Genomic DNA, 26,490 nt, shown 5'->3' with positions numbered 1-26,490 from the left:
ACTGCCTCTCTAGATTCCACCTCTGTGGGCAGGGCATATCAGAACAAAAGGCAGCAGACAGCTTCGGCAGACCTAGACATCCCTGTCTGACAGCTCTGAAGAGAGCAGTAGTTCTTCCAGCATGGCATTTGAGCTCTGAGAATGGACAGACTGCTTCCTCAAGTGGGTCCCTGACCCCCGTGTAGCCTGACTGGGAGACACCTCCCAGTAGGGGCCGACAGACACCTCATACAGGCAGGAGGCCCCTCTGGGATGAAGCTTCCAAAAGAAGGATCAGGCAGCAATATTTGCTGTTCTGTAGCCTCCGCTGGTGATACCCAGGCAGACAGGGTCTGGAGTAGACCTCCAGCAAACTCCAACAGACCTGCAGCTGAGGGGCCCGACTGTTAGAAGGAAAACTAACAAACAGAAAGAAATAGCATCAACATCAACAAAAAGCACATCCACACCAAAACCCCATCTGTAGGTCACCAACAATGAAGACCAAAGGTAGATAAAACCACAAAGATGGAGAAAAACCAGAGCAGAAAAGCTGAAAATTCCAAAAACCAAAGCACTTCTCCTCCAAAGGATCACAGCTCCTCAGCAGCAATGAAACAAAACTGGTCAGAGAATGAGTTTGACAAGTTGACAGAAGTAGGCTTCAGAAAGTCAGTAATAACAAACTTCTTCGAGCTAAAGGAGCATGTTCTAACCCATTGCAAGGAAGCTAAAAACCTTGAAAAAAGGTTAGACAAATGGCTAACTAGAATAAACAGTGTAGAGAAGACCTTAAATGACCCGATGGAGCTGAAAACCACAGCATGAGAACTTCGTGACACATGAGCAAGCTTCAACAGCCGATTCAATCAAGTGAAAGAAAGGATATCAGTGATTGAAGATCAAATTAATTAAATAAAGCGAGAAGACAATATTAGAGAAAAAAAAGTGAAAAGAAATGAACAAAGCCTCCAAGAAATATAGGACTATGTGAAAAAAACAAATCTACATTTAATTGGTGTTCCTGAAAGTGACAGGGAGAATAAAACCAAGTTGGAAAACACTCTTCAGGATATTATCCAGGAGAACTTCCCCAACCTGGCAAGGCAAGCCAACATTCAAATTCAGGAAATACAGAGAACACCCATAGATACTCCTCGAGAAGAGCAACCCCAAGATACATAATTGTCAGATTCACCAAGGTTGAAATGAAGGAAAAAATGTTAAGGGCAGCCAGAGAGAAAGGTCAGGTTACCCACAAAGGGAAGCCCATCAGACTAACAGCGGAACTCTCGGCAGAAACCCTACAAGCCAGAAGAGAGTGGGGGCCAACATTCAACATTCTTAAAGAAAAGATTTTTCAACCCAGAATTTCACATCCAGCCAAACTAAGCTTCATAAGTGAAGGAGAAATAAAATCCTTTACAGACAAACTGAGAGATTTAGTCACCACCAGGCCTGCCTTACAAGAGTTACGGAAGGAAGAACTAAACATGGAAAGGAGCAACTGGTACCAGACACTGCAAAAACATGACAAATTGTAAAGACCATTGATGCTATGAAGAAAATGCATCAATTAATGGGCAAAATAACCAGCTAACATCATAATGACAGGATCAAATTCACACATAACAATATTAACCTTAAATGTAAGTGGGCTAAATGCCCCGATTAAGAAACACAGACTGGCAAATTGGATAAAGAGTCAAGACCAATTGGTGTGCTGTATTCAGGAGACCCATCTCACGTGCAAAGACACACATAGGCTCAAAATAAAGGGACGGAGGAAGATCTACCACGCAAGTGGAAAGCAAAAAAACAGCAGGGGTTGCAATCCTGGTCTCTGATAAAACAGACTTTAAACTCACAAAGATCAAAAGAGACAAAGAAGGCCTTTACATTACATAATGGTAAAATGATCAATTCAACAAGAAGAGCTAACTATCTTAAATAAAAATGCACCCAATACAGGAGCACCTGGATTCATAAAGCAAGTCTTTAGAGACCTACAAAGAGACTTAGACTCCTGCACAATAATAATGGGAGATTTTTAACACCCCACTGTAAATATTAGACAGATCAACGAGACAGAAGGTTAACAAGGATATCCAGGACTTGAACTCAACTCTGCACCAAGTAGACCTAATAGACATCTACAGAACTCTCCAACCCAAATCAACAGAATATACATTCTTCTGAGCACCACATCACACTTATTCCAAAATTGACCACATAATTGGAAGTAAAACACTTCTCAGCAAGTGCAAAACAAGAGAAATCACAACAAACTGTCTCTCGGACCACAGTGCAATCAAACTAGAACTCAGGATTAAGAAACTCACTCAAAACCACACAACTACATGGAAACTGGACAACCTGCTCCTGAATGACTACTGGGTACATAATGAAGTGAAGGCAGAAATAAAGATGTTCTTTGAAACGAATGAGAACAAAGACACAATGTACCAGAATCTCTGGGACACATTTAAAGCAGTGTGTAGAGGGAAATGTATAGCACTAAATACCCACAAGAGAAAGCAGGAAAGATCTAAAATTGACACCCTAACAACACAATTAAAAGAACTAGAGAAGCAAGAGCAAACAAATTCAAAAGCTAGCAGAAAGCAAGAAATAACTAAGATCAGAGCAGAATTGAAGGAGATAGAGACACAAAAAAAACCTTTCAAAAAATCAATGAATCCAGGAGCTGATTGTTTGAAAAGATAAACAAAATAGACCGCTAGCAAGACTAATAAAAAAGAAAAGAGAGAAGAATCAAATAGACACAATAAAAAATGATAAAGGGGATATAACCACTGATCCCACAGAAATACAAACTACCATCAGAGAATACTATAAACACCTCTTTGCAAATAAACTAGAAAATCTAGAAGAAATGGATAAATTCCTGGACACATACACCCTCCCAAGAATAAACCAGGAAGAAGTTGAATCTCTGAATAGACCAATAACAGGTTCTGAAATTGAGGCAATAATTAATAGCCTACCAACCAAAAAACATCTAGGACCAGACAGATTCACAGCCAAATTCTATCAGAGGTACAAGGAGGAGCTGCTACCAGTCCTTCTGAAGCTATTTCAATCAATAGAAGAAGAGGGAATCCTCCCTAACTCATTATGTAAGGCCAGCATCATCCTGATACCAAAGCCTGACAGAGACACAACAAAAAAAGAGAATTTTAGGCTAATATCCCTGATGAACATCGATGCAAAAATCCTCAATAAAATACTGGCAAACTGAATCCAGACACACATCAAAAAGCTTATCCACCACGATCAAGTCAGCTTCATCCCTAGGATGCAAGGCTGGCTCAATATATGCAAATCAATAAACGTAATCCATCACGTAAACAGAACCAAGGACAAAAACCACATGATTATCTCAACAGATGCAGAAAAGGCCTTTGACCAAATTCAACAGCCCTTCATGCTAAAAACTCTCAATAAACTAGGTATTGATGGAACATACCTCAAAATAATAACAGCTATTTATGACAAACCCACAGCCAATATCATACTGAGTGGGCAAAAACTGGAAGCATTCCCTTTGAAAACTGGCACAAGACAAGGATGCCCTCGCTCACCATTCCTATTCAATGTAGTTTTGGAAGTTCTGGCCAGGGCAATCAGGCAAGAGAAGGAAATAAAGCGTATTCAATCGGGAAAAGAGGAAGTCAAATTGTCTCTGTTTGCAAATGACATGATTGTATATTTAGAAAACCCCAACGTCTCAGCCCCAAATCTCCTTAAGCTGGTAAGCAACTTCAGCAAAGTCTCAGGATACAAAATCAATGTGCGAAAATCACAAGCATTCCTATACACCAACAACACACAAACAGAGAGCCAAATCATGAGTGAACTCCCATTCACAATTGCTGTAAAGAGAATAAAATACCTAGGAATCCAGCTTACAAGGGAAGTGAAGGTCCTCTTCAAGGAGAACTACAAACCACTGCTCAATGCAATAAAAGAGGACACAAACAAATGGAAGAACATTCCATGCTCATGAATAGGAAGACTCAATATTGTGAAAATGGCCATACTGCCCAAGGTAATTTACAGATTCAATGCCATCCCCATCAAGCTACCAATGACTTTCTTCACAGAATTGGAAAAAACTACTTTAAAGTTCATATGGAACCAAAAAAGAGCCCACATAGCCAAGACAATCCTAGGCAAAAAGAACAAAGCTGGAAGCATCACGCTACCTGACTTCAAACTATACTACAAGGCTACAGTAACCAAAACAGCATGGTACTGGTACCAAAACAGAGATATAGACCAATGGAAGAGAACAGAGGCCTCAAAAATAACACTACACATCTACAACCACCTATCTTTGACAAATCTGACAAAAACAAGCAATGGGGAAAGGATTCCCTATTTAATAAATGGTGTTGGGAAACGTGGCTAGCCATATGTAGAAAGCTGAAACTGGATCCCTTCCTTACATCTTATACAAAAATTAACTCAAGATGGATTAAAGACTTAAATGTAAGACCTAAAACCATAAAAACCCTAGAAGAAAACGTAGGAAATACCATTCAGGACATAGGCATGGGCAAAGACTTCATGACTAAAACACCAAAAGCAATGGCAACAAAAGCCAAAATTGACAAATGGGACCTAATTAAACTAAAGAGCTTCTGCACAGCAAAAGAAACTATAATCAGAATGAACAGGCAACCTACAGAATGGGAGAAAATTTTTGCAATCTACCTGTCTGACAAAGGGCTAATATCCAGAATCTACAAAGAACTTAGACAAATGTACAAGAAAAAAACAAACAACCCCATCCAAAAGTGGGCAAAGGATATGAACAGACACTTCTCAAACAAGACATTGATGCAGCCAACAGACATGAAAAAATGCTTCTCATCACTGGTCATCAGAGAAATGCAAATCAAAACCACAATGAGATACCATCTCATGTCAGTTAGAATGGTGATCATTAAGAAGTCAGGAAACAACAGATGCTGGAGAGGATCTGCAGAAATGGGAACACTTTTACACTGTTGGTGGGAGTGTAAATTAGTTCAACCATTGTGGAAGACCGTGTGGTGATTCCTCAAGGATCTAGAACCAGAATTACCATTTGACTCAGCGATTCCATTACTGGGTATATACTCAAAGGATTATAAATCATGCTACTATAAAGACACATGGATAGGTATGTTTATTGTGGCACTACTCACAATAGCAAAGACTTGGAACCAACCCAAATGTCCATCAATGTTAGACTGGATTAAGAAAATATGGCACATATACACCATGGAATACTATGCAGCCATAAAAAAAGGATGAGTTCATGTCCTTTGCAGAGACGTGGATGAAGCTGGAAACTATCATTCCCAGCAAACTATCACAAGGACAGAAAACCAAACACCACATGTTCTCACTCATACATGGGAGTTGAACAATGACAACACATGGACACAGGGTGGGGAACATCACACACTGGGGCCTGTCGGGGGGTGGGAGGCTGGGGGAGGGATAGCATTAGGAGAAATACCTAATGTAAATGACAAGTTGATGGGTGCAGCAAACCAACATGGCACATGTATACCTATGTAACAAACCTGTACATTGTGCACATGTACCCTAGAACTTAAAGTATAATTTTAAAAAAAAAAGAGTTTGCCAGTTAAAGAGCAGCATGGTGGAAGTAAGAAATGAGGATAAATCAGATGGTGATTGGAGGTTTATATGAGGTCAAGGAAGAGTTTTTCTTTATGCAAGTGACATTGGGCTTACCAATGGGGGAAAAGCTTAAACAATGGATGAAGAAAGAAAAGAAATACCAAAAAGTTGAAGGTTGCAAAGGAGCAGAGGGTGAAGTAGGGGAAACATGCTATGTACCTACATCAGAAACAGGATGTGCCCCTGGCACATTTTAAAATGGAGGCTGGACACGGTGGCTCACATCTGTGATCCCAGCACTTTGGGAGGCCAAGGCGGGCAGATCACTTGAGGCCAGGAGTTCAAGACCAGCCTGGCCAACACAGCGAAACTCCACTCTACCAAAAATACAAAAATTAGCCAGGCATGGTGGTGCGTGCCTGTAATCCCAGCTATTCAGGAGGCTGAGGCAGGAGGATCACTTGAACCTGGGAGGCGGAAGTTGCAGTGAGCTGAGATCATGCCACTGCCCTCCAGCCTGGGTGACAGAGTGAGACCCCGTTTTGAAAAACTCAATAAATAAAATAAAATAAAAATAAAAATAAAAATGGAGAAATGGGGCCAGAAGGTAGATCCAAGGTTATCCATGGAGATGATGGCAGAGGTAGAATTAGAAATGGTTTGGGCCAGATGTGGCGGCTCACACCTATAATTCCAGCATTTTGGGAGGCAAAGGCAAGAGGATTGCTTGAGCCCAGGAATTCAAGACCAGCTTGGACAACACAGTGAGACCGCATGTCTACAAAAAATTAAACAATTAGCTAGGCATGGTGGCACATGCCTATGGTTCCAGCTGCACAGGAGGTGGAAGTGAGAGGATTACTTGAGCCCAGGAGGTCAAGGCTGCAGTGAGCTATGATCACACCACTGCACTCCAGCCTGGGTGACAGAGCAAGACTCTGTCTCAAAAAAAAAGTAGTCCGGGGGCTGTTTGGTGTGGTGTCCTTTATGCAGAAGGCAGATGGTTAACAAGGACTTATGAGGTTTTTAGCAGATGAAGGCACACTGTGCACCAGATGGAAAAATAAGTCCCAGCATTGCTAGAATCCCAGGGGTAGAGACAGAGGAGGTCATAGAAGGTGGGATCAGGGCAGTAATCTCTCAAACTTGGATACTCTTACATACTGATCATGGGTAATGAAATTTGACATCAAAATGCTCTGACCTGTATCTATTAAGCATTTATTATATGCCAAGTGTTTCAGTTATCTATTGCCGCATAACAAACTGCCCCAGAACTTAGTGGCTTAAAACAACTACTTTAATATTATTTATTTATTTATTTATTTATTTATTTATTTATTTATTTATTTATTTTTAGAGAGAAATTCTTGCTGCACTGCTCAGGCTGGACTAGAACTTCTGGGCTCAAGCAATCCTCCCACCTCAGTCCTACTTTATTATATCTTACACTTCTGTGGGCAGTAATGTGGGCAGGGCTTGGCTGGGCAATTCAGTTCTGTTTCATGTGGCATCAGCTGAGGTTACTCAGTGGTAGCCAGCTGGTGGCTGGGCTTTTTTGGAGGGCCTAAGCCAGCCTCATTCACATGTCTGGTACCTTGGAGGGAATGGTTGAATGGCTGCATTCAGCTGGGACTGTTGATCATGGCACCTACACGGGGCCTTTCCCACATGGTGCTCTCAGGTGAGTCAGACTTCTTACGTGGTGGGGTAGGGCTCCCAGAGACCATGTGCCAAGACACCTCGGTGAAAGCTGTGAGGTTTCTTAGGACCCAGCTTCAGAAGTCCCAGAATGTCATTTCTGCTTTACTCTACTCACCAGTCAAGCCACCCAGGCTGGTCCAGGCCCAAGGAGAGGGGAGCTAGACTCTAACTCTCAAGCAGAAGAGTAGCAAAGAATTTGCATCATCTTTAATCCACCACATCAAATAAGTGCTGTGCATGTGTGACCTTGCATAGTCCTCTCAACAGGACTATGATAAGTGCTTTTATCACCCCCATTTAAGAGATGAGGGAATTAAGATACAATGAGGTTTGGAAACCTGGCTAAGCTCATGCAGCTATGAGAACTGGATTCAACCCAAGCAGCCTGACTCCTGGGTATGTTATGTATCAGTATTCTATGGCAAGCAAGATAGAAACTGCCTGTATCCTACCATCAAGTTTGAAAAGAACTGTCTCTTTAGAATGTTACAGCAGGAGGTACCTTAGCAGTCTCCTAAGGCAAGGCCTTCATTTACAAGATGAAGAAATGCATGCCCTGGCTGTCTAAGTAACCACTCTTTTGTGCAGCATCCTGTCCTGGTGGAGATCCTTTGAGTAACGAGAGCATCTGTTGGTTTATCTCATTTTGGCAAATGAAGAAATGGCCTCAGAAATTTTAAATGATTTCTGCTAGACTACACAGCGAGAGTACAACTGAGCCAGAATCTGAAGACCCATTCCAAATTCCATGTTCTTCCCACTACTCTGGGCTGCCTCAACATAACAGAGATTAGAAGAGGCACTAGGATGTCCAGAAATGAGGATGAAAGCTTGGATTTTTCCTAGGATCCAAATATGCACCTCCTACCAGATAGTTGCTACCTGGTGTAGGGTTCACTGAGATCTTCTTTCCAGATCTAAAATTAGCATTTTTGCCCCCTGGAAAACCACAGGGCTCTAATCCAGACTATAAATGGCTTAGCTTGAGTTCCTCCCACCCCCTGAAAGTAGAGCCTAAGACAAGGAATCAGGTATAGATGGTTCATCTGGGATCTGATCCCAGGAAGCAAGACACTCAGGAGTGCGAGAGAAGGAGGAATAGGCAAATAAGGACCCATCAACAAGGTCACAAGTGTGGGTGTCGGGGCAGATCCCATCAGAACCTTCTGCAAAGTGGATAGCATGACTCAGAGTGGTCCACTAAAGTACAGCAGCCACGGCCACAACTGGAATCAGAGGTGAGGCTCTGTGGATGTGAGTCAGGACCCCAGAGGTGTCTGAGCCCACTGAGAAAGGAACCTTTAATCCGAGATCAGAAGGATGAATCAGAATCAGAGGAAAGGAAGCAGGGAGAGAAAGGCGAATGTTCTGTTCAGAAAAAATAGGATGTTCAAGGGTAGGAGAGCAGGGCCCTTTTGTAGAACTAGGGGAAAAAATTACCTGAGGCTGGAATAGAGACAGCAAGAGAGGAGGTGAACAAATGGTGGGAAATGGAGCTTGGGGGGCCTATAAAGCAAGTTGAAGCTTCATCTGAAGGGCAACAGGAGCCACTGAAAAGTTTTTAATAGGGGAGAGAATGCTCAGATTTTCATTTCTAAAAATGGTTATACTGTCCCCTCCGCAGGTGGACCCCCTGCTGCTTTTCCAAAGAAAATGCAAGCATCAAAGTAGCAAACCAAACTTTTATGGCAACATATAGCATATATGGTCTGCACACATGGGGCCTTCAAATACCAAGAGATTCTTCTACTGATGCAAATATTGCCTACAGATCCTGTTCAGGTTGGAGGACCTGAGCCCAAGGCCCCTCCCAACACAGGTGTCTAGAAATGAGACAAATGTGGTTTTGATCCATGACAATGTTAGGAAACTGAAAGGAGTTTCCTTATGAATAAGAAATCTTGAAAATTCCCTGAAATATGCCAGGCAGTCAAATCAGAGTTTAAAAGGATCCCTATACTGAAGCTCACGTGGGCAAACACTCTTGCATAAAAATGGGAGATGGGAGGTGGCTCCAAGAATAGTCAAAGCCTTGAAGTAGGCCAGACATGGTGGCTCACACCTGTAATCCCAGCACTCTGGGAAGCCGATGTGGGTGGATCACTTGAGGTCAGAAGTTCAAGACTAGCCTAGCCAACATGGTGAAACCCCATCTCTACTGAAAATACAAAAATTAGCTGGGCATGGTACGACACGCCTGTAATCCCAGCTACTCAAGAGGCTGAGGCAGGAGAATCACTTGAACCCAGGGGGGTGGAGGCTGCAGTGAGCCAAGATCACACCACTGCACTCCAACCTGGGCAACAGACTGAGACTCCTTCTCAAAAACAAAAAACAAAAAACAAAAAAACCCATGGATTGCTGGGGCCCACCCCATGAGCTTCTGATTCATTTGGTCTGGGTTTTCATTTCTCACAAGATCCCAAGAGAGGTTGATGCTGCTGGCTCAGGGATCACACTTGAAGAAGCACTGCTCTACTGATGACATTTGCAATTTTAAGTAATAAACAGCTATTTCTCGTTTCATCAAGTTTTGCAATCTCTTGACCCACCAATTTAAAAGATTAAGATACTAAGAAAACTCCTCTTATTCTACTTTTACTTTTATGTAATCAAATTTAATGACATTTGCATTTTATGCTATCACCATAGTTCTGATTTTGGCTCAGTCGTAAATACTGAAAATCAATAAATAGTGCTAATTTTATTATGGCTTCATGATTATTGCTCACAGTTGGGCCAAAACATGTGTCATGATTATATATCCTCCTCTATAGTTGCAAAGTTAAAGTCCAGGAATATGCAACTTCTACTTCAGATAGAATATTTCTAGGATCAACATTCTTTTCTTCTTTATGCTCTTCTACTTACTCAAAACCCTACCATTTTAAGTTTTGGTATGCTGTGTTTCCATTTTCATTTGCCTTAAGAAATTTTTAAATTTCCCTTTGAATTATTTCATTGACCCATTGAAGGTCTCACACTGAAGGTCTCACACCATTAAGTAAAAGTTCAGTCCTAAAACTATACACATCATAAGTTCTCAAAACTCATTGTCTAAAACTGGTCATGTAACCAGGCACAGTGGCTCATGCCTGTAACCCCAGCACTTTGGGAGGCTAAGGTGGGCAGATCACCTGAGGCCAGGAGTTCAAGACCAGCCTGGCCAAAATGGTGAAACCCTGTCTCTACTAACAATATAAAAATTATCCGGATGTGGTGATGGGTGCCTGTAATCACAGCTACTCGGGAGGCTGAGGCAGGAGAATCACTTGAACCTGGGAGGCAGAGGTTGCAGTGAGCTGAAATCACGCCACTGCACTCCAGCAGCAACAGAGTGAGACTCCATCTCCAAAAAACAAAAATCAAAAAGCCTTGAGGTAGAAGAGCCTGGGAGCAGTAGTAGCTCTGCATACCTGAAGGGAGATGAGCTGGGGCACCAACGTAGCAACTGTGAGGTCAACATTGCCCTTTGGACTAAGCAGCAACAGAGCAATAGAGGTGTCTGCCCCCATGTAGAAGCCAGGAGTATGAGCCTTTAGGACCCAGAGCTAAAATAGTGTTCCAGGGGACTGGTAACATCAAGAAAGAATGAGGAGCTCCCTCCCCATGAAATGCCTCCCTGGCTGCTCTATGTCTGACTCTCACCCTGTCTCCTGGAGGTAGACTGCAATAAACAATCAAAGACAGGCTAACGGGGATCCCCCAAAACAAAGATCATTCTTCAGTTAAGACTCACTAAGCAATTGTGGAAATCTATCTCTGTGTAACAGACATCATCCTCTTACCAAATACAGAACTTGCACCTGAGGAAATAGAGCTGATAGCTGAGCTGGGCTGAATAATTAAATTATCAGGGAGAGGTAAGATTACCATATGCAAACATTGTGAATGATTATTTATTTATTTATTAAAACAGGGTCTCACTCTGTCACCTAGGCTAGAGTACATTGATGTGATCACAGCTCACTGAAGCCTCAACCTCCATGGCTCAAGCAACTCTCCTGCTTCAGCCTCCCAAGTAGCTGGGACTACAGGTATGCACTACCACACCCAGATAATTTTTGTATTTTTTGCAGACATGGGGCTTTGCCATGTTGCCCAGGCTGATCATGAACTCCTGGGCTCAAGCAATCTGCCTGCTTCAGCCTCCCAAAGTGCTGGGACTACAAGCGTGAGCTGCTGCAGCTAGCCATGAATGATTTCTATTTGGGAAGTTAATTTAAAATTTGATAATTTAAAACATTCAACATATAAGCTGAGTAGTAATAGAATGGACTGCCAAAGAGAAAATGTGTGAGTTGTAAAATCAAGCCAAGGAAACTTTCAGAATATAACTAAGATTTTTATTTTTTCAGATTTTTATTTATTTATTTATTTATTTAGAGATGAAGCCTCACGCTGTCGCCCAGGCTGGAGTACAGTGACATGAACTTGACTCACTGCAACCTCCACCTCCTGGGTTCAAGAGAGTCTCATGCCTCAGCCTCCCGGGTACCTGGGATTACAGGCGCCTGCCACCATGCCCAACTAATTTTTATATTTTTAGTAGAGATGGGGTTTCACCATGTTGGCCAGGCTGGTCTCGAACTCCTAACCTCAAGTCATCCACTTGCCTCAGCCTCCCAAAGTGCTGGGATTACAGGCACGACCCACCACACCTGGTCAGATTTTTAAAATGTAAAACAGAAGTTAAAGTGATGTATAATATAAATTGGACTTAGCCAGAATTTAAATCTTCTGCTCTTCAAAAGACACTGTTAAGAAAATAAAAATACTAGCCTAGACTTGGAGAAAATGTTTGCAAAACATGTATCTATTAAAAGACTTGTACTCAGAATATGTAAAGAACTCTCAAAACTCAATGATAAGAAAAGAAAAAGAGGCAACTCAATAAAAATATGCAAAAGATATGAATAAACACTTAACTAATAAAGACATATAGATGGCAAACAAAAACATGAAAATATACTCAATATTATTAGTTATTAGGGAAATACAAATTAAAACCATAAGAGACTTAATACCACTACAGGCCTATTAGTATGACAAAAATTAAAAAGACTGACCATACCAAGTACTGGTGAAGATGTTGGGGAACTGGAACTCTCATACACTACTGGTAGGAAGGTAAAATGGTGCAACCACTTTGGAAAACAGCTTAATGGTTTCTTTAAAAGTTAGACATGTACCTACAATATAATTTAGTCATTTCATTCTTAGGTTTTTATCCAAAAGAAAAGAAAATACATGTCATACAGAGACTTGTCTACAAACATTCACATCAACTTGATTTTTAATAGCCCAAAAGTGCAAACATCTATAGATGTCCATATGTAGATGAACAGATAAACAAATTGTGGCATATTCATACAATGGAATAACTACTCAACAATATAAAGGAATAAACAAGCAATAACATGAATGAATCTCAAAATAATTTTGCTGAGTGAAAGAAACACAGAAAAATAGTACATATTGTATTATTTCATTTATATAAAATTCTAGAAAATGTAACTAATCTATAGTGACAGAAAGCAGATCAGTGGTTGCCTGGGATCAGGAGTGGGAGGGACAGGTGGGATGGCAGAATGGAATTACAAAAGGCAAGAGGAAACTTTTGAGAGTATTAGATATGCTCACCATCATGATTGTAGTGATGGTTTCCCAGGTACAGACATATGTCAAAACTTATCAAATAGTATCCTTTAAATATGTACACCTTATTGTACATTAGTTGTACCTTAATAAGGCTGTTACCGTGTAAATGTGTGTGTGTGTGTGTGTGTGTGTGTGTGTGTATCGGTATGTCTCAATTTTATTTGGCCATGACTCTTCTCCCTGCTCACCTATTGCCCCAGTTTGCAGAGCCATGACATATGCAATGAGACAGACCTGGGGTGATCCTGGCTCCGCTGTCATCCTGGCCGTGTGCCCTTCAGTAAGCGATTTACACTTTCAGAGCCTTCATTTTTTTCCTTCAAAATGGAGTAGTAGTTGGGATTAAATTAGTGAATGTCAAATGCCTTTCACATAGTAGGTTCTTGAAAACTTTAGACCACCAATCACCCCAGAAACTGAAGCAGCCATATTTATGATTGCCCCAAAGACATTAACTTTATTTTTAGCTAAAGACACCAGCATGCAATCACCTTGGGTCCAAAGGTCCAGGGGAAAGATGTTGAAATGCTGAGCACTGCCCTGCAGGCCCATCTGCTCTGCATTAGCCCGCCTTCCTCTGTTTATTATTCCATGTGTTAAATCTCCTCCAATTCTTGTGTGAAAAGTTCGGGCGCACAATAACCTCTTTATCACATTTTCAAATTCTGGGCCTGTTCTGGAAAGTTTACACCTTTTTCTTGTTGCCATTGTTTTCATGTGGATTCAGATTTCTGAAAAAGGCATTTGGAGCACTTTGCTGAAAATATTTATGTGTAAAGCTTGATGAGACCAAATATTGCCAAAAAGTGAAAATTAGATGTCAGAGGAATTAGCACCATACCACGTGGGCCATGTGGTACAGCTGTGGCTGTGTGAGGAGAATCTGAGGCTCGGGTTGGTGGTTGAGAGCCTGTGGCTGGGCAATACTCTTAGCCGCTCTCCTTCGGGGAATAAATTCAATAATACTGAAAAGAATAACAGAAACATGCCAATGTTGGAGTAGAGAATAAAAAGGTCACATAACGCTGTAAAAATAAATGCATCATAACAATATTGCTTACCATTCATTGAGTATTATTTGTGTACCTTGCTTCACTAAGTGCTATTTTACTTAAACCTCACAACAAGCCTGTGAGTTAGGTATAGAATAAGCAAGGGTTCTCTTAGCCATAAGTGACAGGAAATCCACCTCAAACTGGCTTACAACATAAAGAACTTTTTATTGGATATGTAAATTTAAAGTGCAGATTTAGTTCTACCTTCAAGTGATACTTGATCCAGCAGCTCCAAAAGATATTTCCAAAGACCAAGACTCTTCCTCTTCTCTCTGCCTTCTTATTAGCTTTCTCTTCAGGCTTCATGGAGTCAGTTCAGATGTCCCAGGTTTCCCATGGTGGCAAAATGGCTGCAGCTGTTCCAGACCTCACATCCTTATAGAGAAAGAGAGAATAAATCCTGAAATTCACTCTCATTGGTCACAGATGGGTCATGTGTCCATTCCTAAACAGATCACCGTGGTGGGGAAGGGGAGGTGAGTAAGAAAGGTTGATTATATTAAGTCTTTGGGGTAGGGGCTGGGGAGGTAGTCCATACCCAGTAACTAGACGTCGGTCCAATCCCAAGCAAAGCCGCAGGCTAAGAAATGGGGAGAGGTAGCATCCCAAGGGAAAAAAGGGAAAGGGCTAATTACAAAAGGGAACTGGATGCTGGGGACACATCCAGTAAATGCCCACTTTAGTGTACTCATTCATTCATTCATTATTTAGAAATTGTCAAACACTATTTAGGAGCTGAGGACACATCAGGAAATAAAAAGCAAAAATCTCTACGGTAGATTCTGTTGATGCCCCCACTGCATGTCCCCTTGACACACCTGCAACTGTGTTGGACAGTTCCTATGCACAGGAACCGTGTCTAGCTCTCTGCTTCTTCGCCAGAAGGCTTTCTCTGCAGTGGGCAAGCTTGCTCAGCCCATGCACAAGTCAGTCTGGATGTACCAGAGGTTTAAGCCTCCCTACATTCAACAATGGGCAGGAGTTGGGGACAATACTCCAGTTTTTCTATCTCTAGGTAGGAAATGTATGAGAATTTCAGTTCAACAGGGCTTCTCAGAGGATCTCCAAAAATTGTTCACAGCACTAATAAGTTTACTAATGCCTCCTTTATTGATTTTACTTTCTTCTGTGGTTTTTCCCCCAGTTCCCTTTCTTATACCCTTCAGGATCATGTCCCAAATGAACAGCCAACACCATATCCCCTGTCTCAAGGGTCAGGTTTCAGTGGTCAGCTTTCAGATGGTCTCAAACTCAGACCATCGCTGCCTTCATGGGCTTACATTCTGGTGGCAGGAGGAGATGAATAATAAAATAAACAAGCAAACTATGTGATGTTATATTAAGATAGGTATTGTAGAGGAATATAAAGTAGAGAAGGGGATAGAGTGATGGGGTGGGTATGGGTGCAATCTTAAGGCCTTGAGGAAAACATTAGAGGTAAGTCAAGACCTAAAGAAGATGTAAGATTAAGCTGTGTTAACAGTCAGGTTAGGCTGTATTATGCTAAGATAACAAGCAACTCCCAGACAATAACGGCTTAAATGACAGAGGTATATTTCTCACTGAAACCACATGTTCATTGCAGGTCAGCTGGAACATTGCTCCACATGCATTCATTTAGTAACCACCTGAAGAAACATAGCTAGTTATCATGGCAGACAGAAAAAAAGAATTCTAGAAGGTCTCACTTTATCAAGTAAAAGTTCAGCCCTAAAGTTATACATATTATAAGTTCTCAAAACTCATTGTCTAAAACTGGTCATGTGGCCACGCACAGTGGCTCATGCCTATAATCTCAGCACTTTGGGAGGCTGAGGTGGGCGGATCACCTGCGGTAAGGAGTTCGAGACAAGCCTGGCCAACATGGTGAAACCCCATCTCTACTAAAAATGCAAAAATTAGCCAGGTGTGCTGGTACACGTCTATAATACCAGCTACTTGGGAGGCTGAGGCACAAGAATTGCTTGAACCCAGGAGGCAGAGGTTGCAGTGAGCTGAGATCGTGCCACTGTACTCTAGCCTAGGCGACAAAGTGAGACGCTGTCTCAAAAAAAAAAAGTAAAAAATAAAATAAAACCCACCAATCACAAGTGAAGGAGGTACAATTTACCAAGTGTCTGGTTGGCAGAGAGCTGAAAATAATCTGTGGACAGACCTACTAACACCACAGTCCACCCTTCTGGATCACCAAATATTCTGACAAAATATACACACCATTTCCCTAAGTGGAGAAAAACAATCATATCAAATTCAAAGTCCATGAAGGATACTTTGTCTCCACATCAGGTTCGATTATGATTTATCTTGATCCAGAGACCTATAAACTAAAAAGACAAGTTGTCTGAACCCAACATGCAAGACATGATATCTGGGTTTCAAAAAACAAACAAACAAACAAACAAACAAACATGACAAGCCATACTAAAATGCAAAAACGCAGTTTGAGGAAATAGAATAAGCATTAGAACCAGACAAACATCGCATACTCTCACTCATATGTGGGAGCTTAAAAAGTGTATTTCATGAAGATAGAGAGTAGATTGGTAGTTATCAGAGGCTGGGAAGGAGAGAGGGGGAATAGGGAGAGGTTGATTAATAGGTACAAATATACACTTTGATAAAAGAAATAAGACCCAATGTTTAATAGATAATTACGGTGACTATAGTTTACAATAATCTATTGTATATTTCAAAATAGCTAGAAAAGGCCAGGTGTGGTGGCTCATGCCTGTAATCCCAACATTTTGGGAGGATAAGGCAGAAGGATTGCTTGAGCCTGGGAGTTTGAGACCAGCCTGGGAAACATAGTGAAACTCTGTCTCTACAAAAAAAAAAAAAAAAAATTGTAAAAAGTAGCCAGGCATGGTGGTATGCACCTGTAGTCTCAGCTACTCAGGAGGCTAGGTGGGAGGATCACTTGAACCTGGGAGTTTGAGACTGTAGTGAGATATGTTCCACCATTGCACTCTAACCTGGGTGACAGAGTGAGACACCATCTATAAAAAAATGTTTAATTTTTTAAAAAAATTGCTAGAGAGAATAAGTGCTTCTAGCATACAGACAAAACAAATATTTAAGATGACAAATGTCTTAATTAGACTGATTTGATCATTACAAATTATATGAATGTATTAAATTATCACATATATCCCCAAAATATGTACATTTATGTATATTTTTTTTAATCTTTTTCTAAAAAGTGAAGGACAAGGGGTGCCCTGCATGCCAGCAGGGCACCCACCACTGAAGCCTGGGATACACCATCTGCCTACTCACCCATTCCCTCCACAGTACATGCCAGGTGCCCTGAGCCAACTACCCTCCTCCCCTCAAGATGTAGCACAATATTGGGCTAACCTGCTTGTGTTCATGGCTACACTGTTGATCATCCTGCTGCTGATGGTATGTGATGAGTGGGGCATCCATCGTATTTTGTATGGCATCTTTTTAAAATCTAAATTCAAGTTTCTGCAAGAACTGATGGGAGAAACAGAACCCCAAGAGGGAGATCAAGAGCCTTCGGGGTCTGAAACTGAAGAAGACACTTCATTCTCTCCACATCTGAATGATCAGATTCATTCACCAAAGGAGGGCACCTGCTGATGAAGGCCACTGACCCCAGACATAGTCTGTTATTGGTGAATGATGAAAGAAAATTGCTAGCCTCTGTCTTTAGTGACTTGGCTTTGAAATTTAATAAATGACTGAAGAACATTTGTACTTGGATTTTAAGTCCAAAAAAAGAAAAAAGAAAGACAAATAAAGACTCAAAGACTTTCTAAAACAAAAATTGAGAGAGTTTGTTACCAGTAGACCTACCTTGCAAGAAATTTTAAAAGAAGCTCTTCTGACAGAAGAAAATAATATAGGTCAGAAATTCAGATCTTCATAAAGAAAGGAAGGGCATTAGAGAAGGAATAAGTGAAGGTAAAATACAAAGTTTTCTTTTTCTTTTTCTTTTTTTTAGACAGAGTCTCGCTCTGTTGCCCAGGCTGCAGTGCAGTGGTGCAATCTTGGCTCACTGCAACCTCCGCCTCCCAGGTTCAAGTGATTCTTCTGCCTCAGCCTCCCAAGTAGCTGGGACTACAGGTGCACGCCACCACGCCTGGCTAATTTTTTTATTTTTAGTAGAGACAGGGTTTCACCATATTGGCCAGGCTGGTCTCGAACTCCTGACCTTGTGATCCACCCGCCTCAGCCTCCCAAAGTGCTGGGATTACAGGTGTGAGCCACCGCGCCTGGCCTATTTTTCTTATTCTGAATTGATCTGACAGATAACAGTTTGTTCAAAATAATAATAGCAAGGAGGTGGAGCAAGATGGCCAAATAGAAGCCTCCACCAATTGTCCTCAACGCAAGAATATAAAATTGAACAACTATCCACATACAAAAAAAATGCACCTCCATAAGAACCAAAAACCAGGTGAGTGATTATAGTACCTGGTTTTAACTTCATATCACTGAAAGAGACACTGAAGACAGTAGAAAAGACAGTCTTGAGTTGGCTATGCCATTCATCCCCCATTCTCAGCTCCAGCCACGAGGTATGGAGAGATAATCTGCACTTGAGGAAGGAACAGCACAGTGATTGTGGGACTTTGCATTGGAAATCAGTGCTTGCCTGTCACAGCAGAAAACAACACCAGGCAGAACTCAGGCAGCGACCACAGAGGGAGCATTTAGACCAGCCCCAGCCAGAGGGGAATCACCCATCCCAGCAGTCAGAACTTGGGTTCTGGCAAGTCTTGCCACCATGGGCTAAAGTGCTCTGTGATTCTAAATAAACTTGAGAGGCAGTCTACACCACAAGGCCTGCAATTTCTAGGCACGTCCTGGTGCTGTCTTGGACTTGGAGGCAGAGCAGTTGGGGGCCACATGACGCAGTGAAACACTAGCTAAGGGTGTCCAAGGGAGTGCTTACGCCAACCCTCCCTCAACCACAGGTAGTATAGCTGGCAGCTCTGGGAAAGACTCCTTCCTTCTGCTTTAGGAGCAGAGAGAGAAGAATAAAGAGGACTTTGCCTTGCAGTGTGGATGCCAGCGTAGCCACAGCAGGATAGGGCACAGGCAGAGTTCCCATTCCCTGAGGCTCCCATTCCAGGCCCTAGCTCCTGGATAATATTCCTAGATACTCCCTGGACCAGAAGGAAACCCACTGCCTTGAAGGGAAGGACCCAGTCCTGGCATCTCTCATCACCTGCTGAATAAAAAGCCCTTGGGGTCTGAAAAATCACCAGTGGCAGCCAGGCAGTACTCACCATGGGCCTTAAGGTGAGACTCAGAGATGTGCTGGCTTCAGGTATAACCCAGCACATTTGAAACTATAGCGGCTATGGGGAGAGATTCCTTCTGCTTGAGAAAAGGAGAGGTAAGAATAAAGGGGACTTTGTTTGCAGCTTACATACCACTTTGGCCACAGTTTGGTAGAGCACCAGGTAGGCTCATGGGGTTCCTGATTCCAGGCCTTGGCTTTTGGATGATATTTCTGGACCTGCTCTGGGCCAGAGGGGAGACCACTGCCCTGAAGGGAGAGTCCTAGGTCTAGAAGCATTCACTACAAGCTGACTGAAGAGCCCTTGGGTCTTGAGTGAATATCAGGGGTAGCCAGGCAGTACTCACCTGGGACAATGGTGGCCATGAGAAGAGACTCCTCTACTTGTAGAAAGGTGAGGGAAGAGTAGGATGTCATCTTGTAGCTTGGGTGCAAGCTCAGCCACAGTAACAGAACTCCAGGCCCTGGCTCCCAGGCGACATCTCTGGACCCACCTGGGAACAGGGGGAATGTGCTGCCCTGCAGAGAAGAACGCAAGCCTGGCTGGCTTTGCCACCTGCTAATGGTAGAGCCCTTAGGGCCTTGCACAAACATAGGTGGCAGCCAGGCAGAGGTTACTGAGGGCCTTGATTGAGACCCATTGCTGAGCTGGCTTCAGGCCTGACCAGCATAGTCCCAGTAGTTGTAATCATAGGGGTGCATATGTCACCCCACCCCCAGCTCCAGGCAGCTCAGCAGAGAGAGACTCCATTTGTTTGGGAGAAAGTAATGGAAGAGAACAAGAGTCTCTGCCTGGTAATCCAGTGAATCTTTCCAGATCTTATCTAAGAACACCAAGGCAGTACCTCTACAAGTCTGCAAAAGCCACAGCATTACTGGGCTTGGGGTGCCCCCTCATACAGATATGGCTGCTATGACCAAAAATTTAGATCACAATGCCCAAGTCCCTCTGAATACCTGGAAAGTCTTCTGAAGAAGGATGAGTACAAACAAGCCTAGATTTCGAAGACTACAATAAATACCCAACTCTTCAATGCCCAGATACCAACAAACTCCACAAGCATCAAGACCATCCAAGAAAACATTACTTCACCAATTGAGCTAAATAAGGCACCAGTGACCAATCAAGAAGAGACAGAAATATGTGACCTTTCAGACAAGAGAATTTAGAATTTTTGAGTAAACTCAATGAAATTCAAAATAACACAGGAAAGGAATTCAAAATCCTATCAGATAAAGTTAACAAAGAAATTGAAATAATTAAAAAGAATCAAGCAGAAATTCTAGAGTTAAAAAGGGCAAGGAACATACTGAAGAATAATATATCAGAGTCTCTCTTTTTTTTTTTTTTTTTTGAGATGGGGTCTCATTCTGTCACCCAGGTTGGAATGCAGTGGTGCAATCTTGGCTCACTGCAACCTTTACCTCCTGGGATCAAGTGACCCTCCCACTTCAGCCTCCTGAATAGTTGGGACCACAGGCACACACCACTATGCTTGGTTAATTTTTTGTATTTTTGGTAGAGACAGGATTTCACCATGTTGCCCAGGCTGGTCTTGAACTCATAAATTCAAGTGATCTACCTGCCTTGGCTTCCCAAAGTGCTGGGATTACAGATATGAGCCACAGTACCCAGCCTATCAGAGTCTCTTAACAGCAGAATTGATCAAGCAGAAGAAAGAATTAATGAGCTTGAAGACAGGCTATTTAAAAATGCACAGTTACAGGAGACAAAGTAAAAAATAATAAAAAAGAATGAAGCATGCTTAGAAGATCTAGAAAATAGCCTCCAAAAGGCAAATCTAAGATTTATTGGCCTTAAAGAGGCAGTAGAGAGGGAGAGATAGGGATAGAAAGTTTATTCAAGGGGATAATAACAGAGAACTTCCCAAACCTAGAGAAAGATACCAATATTCAAGTACAAGAATGTTACAGAACACCAAGCAGATTTAATCCAAATAAGACTACCTCAAGACATTTAATAATCAAACTCCAAAAGGTCAAGGAGAAAGAAAGGATTCTAAAAGCAGCAATAAATAAAAAAGAAATAACATACAATGGAGGCTGGGCACTGCGGCTCACGCCTGTAATCCCAGCACACTGGGAGGCTGAGGCAGGTGGATCACTTGAGGTCAGGAGTTCTAGACCAGCCTGGCCAACATGGTGAAACCCCATCTCCACTAAAAACACAAAAATTAGCTGGCAGTGGTGGCGGGCACCCGTAATCCCAGCTACTCGGGAGGCTGAGACAGGAGAATCGCTTGAACCCTAGGGGCGGAGGTTGCTGTGAGCCGAGATCATGCCACCTCACTCCAGCCTGGGCGACAGAGTGAAACTCCATCTCAAAAAAAAACAAGGCTAGGCGCAGTGGCTCACACCTGTAATCCCAGCACTTTGGGAGGCTGAGGCGGGTGGATCACAAAGTCAGGAGATCGAGACCATCCTGGCTAACACTAACCATCTCTACTAAAAATACAAAAAATTAGCCAGGCATGGTGGCAGGCGACTGTAGTCCCAGCTACTCAGGAGGCTGAGGCAGGAGAATGGCGTGAACCCAGGAGGTGAAGCTTGCAGTGAGCCAAGATTGCACCACTGCACTCCAGCCTGGGCGACAGAGCAAGACTCCATCTCCAAAAAAAAAAAAAACAAAACAAAACAAAAAAAACCATACAATGGAGCTCCAATATGTCTGGCAGCAGACTTCTCAGTGGAAATCTTACAGGCCAGAAGAGAGTGACGTGACATATTTAAAGTGTGGATGGAAAAAACTTTTCTCTCAAAATAGTGTATCCAGTGAAAGTATCCTTCAAACATAAAGGAGAAATAATTTCCCAGACAAACAAAAACTGAGGGATTTCATCAACACCAGACCTGTTCTACAAGAAATGCTAAAGGGAGTTCTTCAATCTGAAAGAAAAGAATGTTAATAAGCAATAAGAAATCAGCTGAAGGTACAAAACTCACTGAGAGTAGTAACTACATAGAAAAGCACAGAATAGGCCAGGTGCGGTGGCTCACACCTGTAATCCTAGCACTTTGGGAGGCCAAGGCAGGTGAATCACTTGAGGTCAGGAGTTTGAGACCAACCTGGCCAACATGGCAAAACCCCAACTCTACTAAAAATATAAAATTAGCCAGATGTGGTGGCATGTGCCTGTAGTCCCAGCTACTTGGGAGGCTGAGGCAGGAGAATTGCTTGAATCTGGGAGATGGAAGTTGCAGTGAGCCAAGATCATGCCACTACACTCCAGCCTGGGCAACAGAGCAAGACTCCATCTCAAAAAACAGAAAAGAAAAGAATATTATAACACTGTAATTGTGATGGGTAAACTACTTACATCTTGAGTAGAAAGACTAAACAATGAGCCAATCAAAAATAATAACTACAATGACTTTTCAAGACCTAGACAGCACAATAAGATATAAATAGAAACAACAAAAATTTAAAAAGTAGGGGGATGAAGATAAAACTGCTGAGTTTTTATTAGTTTTCTCTTTGCTTGTTTGTTAGTTTGTTTCCTTGTTTATGAAATCAGTGTTAAGTTGTCATCAGGTTAAAATAATAGGTTATAAGATATTATTTGCAAGCCTCATGGTATCAAATCAAAAAACATACCACATATACAAAAGCAAGAAATTAAACATATCACCAGAGAAAGTCACCTTCACTTAAAGGAAGACAGAATCAAGGAAAGAAGGAAAAGAAGACCACAAAACAACCAGAAAACAAGTAACAAAATGGCAGGAGTAAGTCCTTACCTACCAATAATCACACTGAATGTAAATGGGCTAAACTCTCCAATCAAAAGAGAGAGTGGCTGAATGAATTTAAAAAAAAGAAAAAAACAAGATCTATTGCTTACAAGAAACACATTTCACCTATAAAGACTCACATACACTGAAAATAAAGGGATGGAAAAAGATACTCCACACCAATGGAAATGAAAAGACAGCAGGAGTAGCTACACTTATATCAGACAACATAGATTTCAAGAGAAAAACTGGCCAGGCACAGTGGATCATGACTGTGATCCCAAGCATTTTGGGTGGCCAAGGTGGGTGGATCACCTGAGGTCAGGAGTTTGAGACCAGCCTCACCAGCATGGCAAAACCCCATCTCTACTAAAAATACAAAAATTAGCCAGGCATGATGGCACATTCCTGTAGTCACAGCTACTTGGGAGGCTGAGGCAGGAGAATCACTTGAACCCAGGAGGCAGAGGTTGCAGTGAGCCAAGAGGGCACCACTGCACTCCAGTCTGGGTGACAGAGCAAGACCTCATCTAAAAAAAAAAAAAAAAAAGATTTCAAGACAAAAGCTATAAAAAGAGACAAGGAAGGTTATTATATAATAATAAAGGGGTCAATTCAGCAAGAGGATATAACAATTGTAAACATATATGCACCCAACACTGGAGCGCCCAGATATATACAGCAAATATTAAAGCTAAAGAGAGAGATACACCTCAATACAAAAATAGCTGGAGACTTCAACACCCCACTTTCAGCACTGTACAGATCATCAGACAGAAAATCACCAAGGAAACACTGGACTTCATCTGCACTATAGACCAAATGGACCTAATGCATATTTACAGAACATTTCCTCCAATGGGTGCAGAATGCTCATTCTTCTCCTCAGTACATAAATTATTCTCAAGGATAGACCATATACTAGACCACAAAACAAGCCTTTAAAATTAAAAAAAAAAAAGAATCTTCCCAGACCACAATGGAATAAAACTAGAAATAATAACAAGAGTTATTTTGGAAACTATACAAACACATGAAAATTAAACAATATTCTCTTGAATGACCAGTGGATCAATGAAGAAATTAAGAAGAAAATTTAAAAAGTCTCCCAGCCAGGGAAAGCCAGGGACCCAATGGCTTCCCTACTGAAGTTTATCAAATATTTAAAGAAAACTAATACCAATTCTACTCAAACCATTCTGAAAAATAGAGAAGGAGGGAATACTTACAAACTCATTCTATGAAGCCAGTATTAACCTGATACCAAACCAGAAAAAGACACATCAAAAAAAGAAAACTACAAGCTAATATCCCCAATGAACAAGGATGCAAAAATCTTCAACAAAATACTAGCAAACTGAATTCAACAACACATTAAATTCATCACTGATCATTCATCATGACCAAATAGGCAAGGATGGTACAAGATATGCAAATAAATTAATGCAATACATTATATCAACAGAATAAAGGAAACCCCATATGATTGTTTCAATTGATGCTGAAAAAGCACTTTATGAAATTCAATATTCCTTCATGATAAAATCTCTCAAAAAAACTGGGCATAGAAGGAACATACCTCAACAAATAAAAGCTATATATGACAGATCCACAGCTAGTATCATACCAAATGGGGAAAAATGGAAAGCCTTTCCTCTAAGATCTGGAACACAACAAGAATGTCCACTTTCACCACTGTTATTCAACATAGTTCTGGAAATCCTAGCTAGAGCAATCAGACAAGAGAAAGAATGGGCATCCAAATTGGAAAAGAAGGCCGGGCATGGTGGCTCACACCTGTAATCCCGGCACTTTGGGAGGCTGAGGCAGGCAGATCACTTGAGGTCAGGAGTTTGAGACCAGCCTGGCCAACATGGTGAAAACCCATCTCTACTAAAAATACAAAAATTAGCTGGGCATGGTGGTGGAAGCCTGAAATACCAGCTACTCAGATGGCTGAGGCTGGAGAATCGCTTGAATGCAGTGAGCCAAGATCATGCCACTGCACTCCAGCCTGGGTGACAGAGCAAGACTCTGTCTCAAAAAAAAAAAAGGAAAGGAAGAAGTCAAATTATCATTGTTCATAGATGGTATGATCTTATATTTGGAAAAACATAAAGAATCCACCAAAAAACTATTAGAACTGATAAATTCAGTAAAGTTGCAGGATACAAAATCAACATACAAAAATCAGTAGCATTTCTATATGCCAACAGCAGATAATCTGAAAAAGAAATCAAGAAAGTAATCCCACTTATAATAGCTACAAATAAAATTAAATACCTAGGAATTAACTTAACCAAAGAAGTGAATGACCTCTACAATGAAAACTATAAAACACTCATGAAAGAAATTGAGGAAGACACCAAAAAATGGAAAGATATTTCACGTTCATGAACTAAAAGAATCAATATTGTGAAAATGTTCATATTGCCCAAAGCAGTCTGTAGATTCAACGTAATCCCTATCAAAATACCAATGACATTTTTCACAGAGATAGAAAAAACAGGCTGGGCAAGGTGGCTCATGCCTATAATCCCAGTACTTTAAGAAGCCAAGGTAGGTGGACTGTCTGAGCCCAAGAGTTTCAAACCAGCCAGGGCAAGATGGTGAGACCACATCTATACAAAAAAAATTTTTTTAATTAAAATTAGAAAAAAAATGCTAAAATTATATGTAACCACAAAAGATCCAGAATAGCCAAGCTATATTGAGCAAAAAGGACAAAACTGAAGAATCACATTACTTGACTTCAAATTATACTACACAGTATATAGTACAGCATGGTACTGGCATAAAAACAGACACATAGACCAATGGAACCAACAGGCAGGATGAGATCACCAAGGAGACATACATGAGAAAGAGGAAAGGCCTGGAGCCTGAATCTTAGGGCCCTCCAATATTCAGTGGTCAGGGAAATGAGGATGAACCAGCCAGCAACAAATCTACATCTGCAGTAAACTCATTTTTTACAAAAGTGCCAAGAACATACATTGGGGGAAAAAAGTCTCTTCAATAAATAGTGCTGGGAAAACTGGATATCCGTATGCTGAAGAATAAAACTAGACCCCTATCTCTCACCATATACAAAAATAAAATTAAAATAGATTGAAGACTTAAATCTAAGACGTCAGGCTGGGCATGATGTCTCATGCCTGTAATTCCAGTACTTTGGGAGGCCAAGGCAGGCAGATCATTTGAGGTCAGGAGTTTGAGACCAGCTTGGGAAACATGGTGAAACCCTGTCTCTACTAAAAATACAAAAACTAGCTGGGCGTGGTGGCAAGCATCCGTAATCCCAGCTACTTGGAAAGCTGAGGCAGCAGAATCGCTTGAACCTGGGAGGCAGAGGTTGCAATGAGCCAAGATCGTGCCACTGCACTCCATCCTGGGTGACAGAAT

General features: G+C 41.6%; 1 long non-coding RNA gene across 6 annotated transcripts in view; it reads right to left on the bottom strand.

The window, feature by feature from the left end:
* The window catches only part of APRG1 (APRG1 tumor suppressor candidate), a 54,421-nt gene that overhangs the window by 4,509 nt on the left and 23,422 nt on the right, over positions 1-26,490 (bottom strand). For 2 of the 6 annotated variants that reach the window (NR_171174.1, NR_171173.1), the window contains exons 3-5: positions 19,680-19,851; positions 14,265-14,435; positions 12,623-13,970 (exon numbers count right to left, since the gene is read on the bottom strand). This is a non-coding gene — a long non-coding RNA (APRG1 tumor suppressor candidate). Of the gene's footprint in view, positions 1-12,622; positions 13,971-14,205; positions 14,436-19,679; positions 19,852-26,490 lie in introns of those variants that run through there. The other 4 variants (NR_126514.1, NR_126513.1, NR_126512.1 and 1 more) reach the window with 3 other exon arrangements.

The sequence above is a fragment of the Homo sapiens genome, chromosome 3 (genome assembly GCF_000001405.40).
Source record: "Homo sapiens chromosome 3, GRCh38.p14 Primary Assembly".
Lineage (NCBI taxonomy): Eukaryota > Metazoa > Chordata > Mammalia > Primates > Hominidae > Homo > Homo sapiens.
Note: the sequence above shows the minus strand (reverse complement) of the source record. Positions and strands in the feature narration are given on the sequence as shown.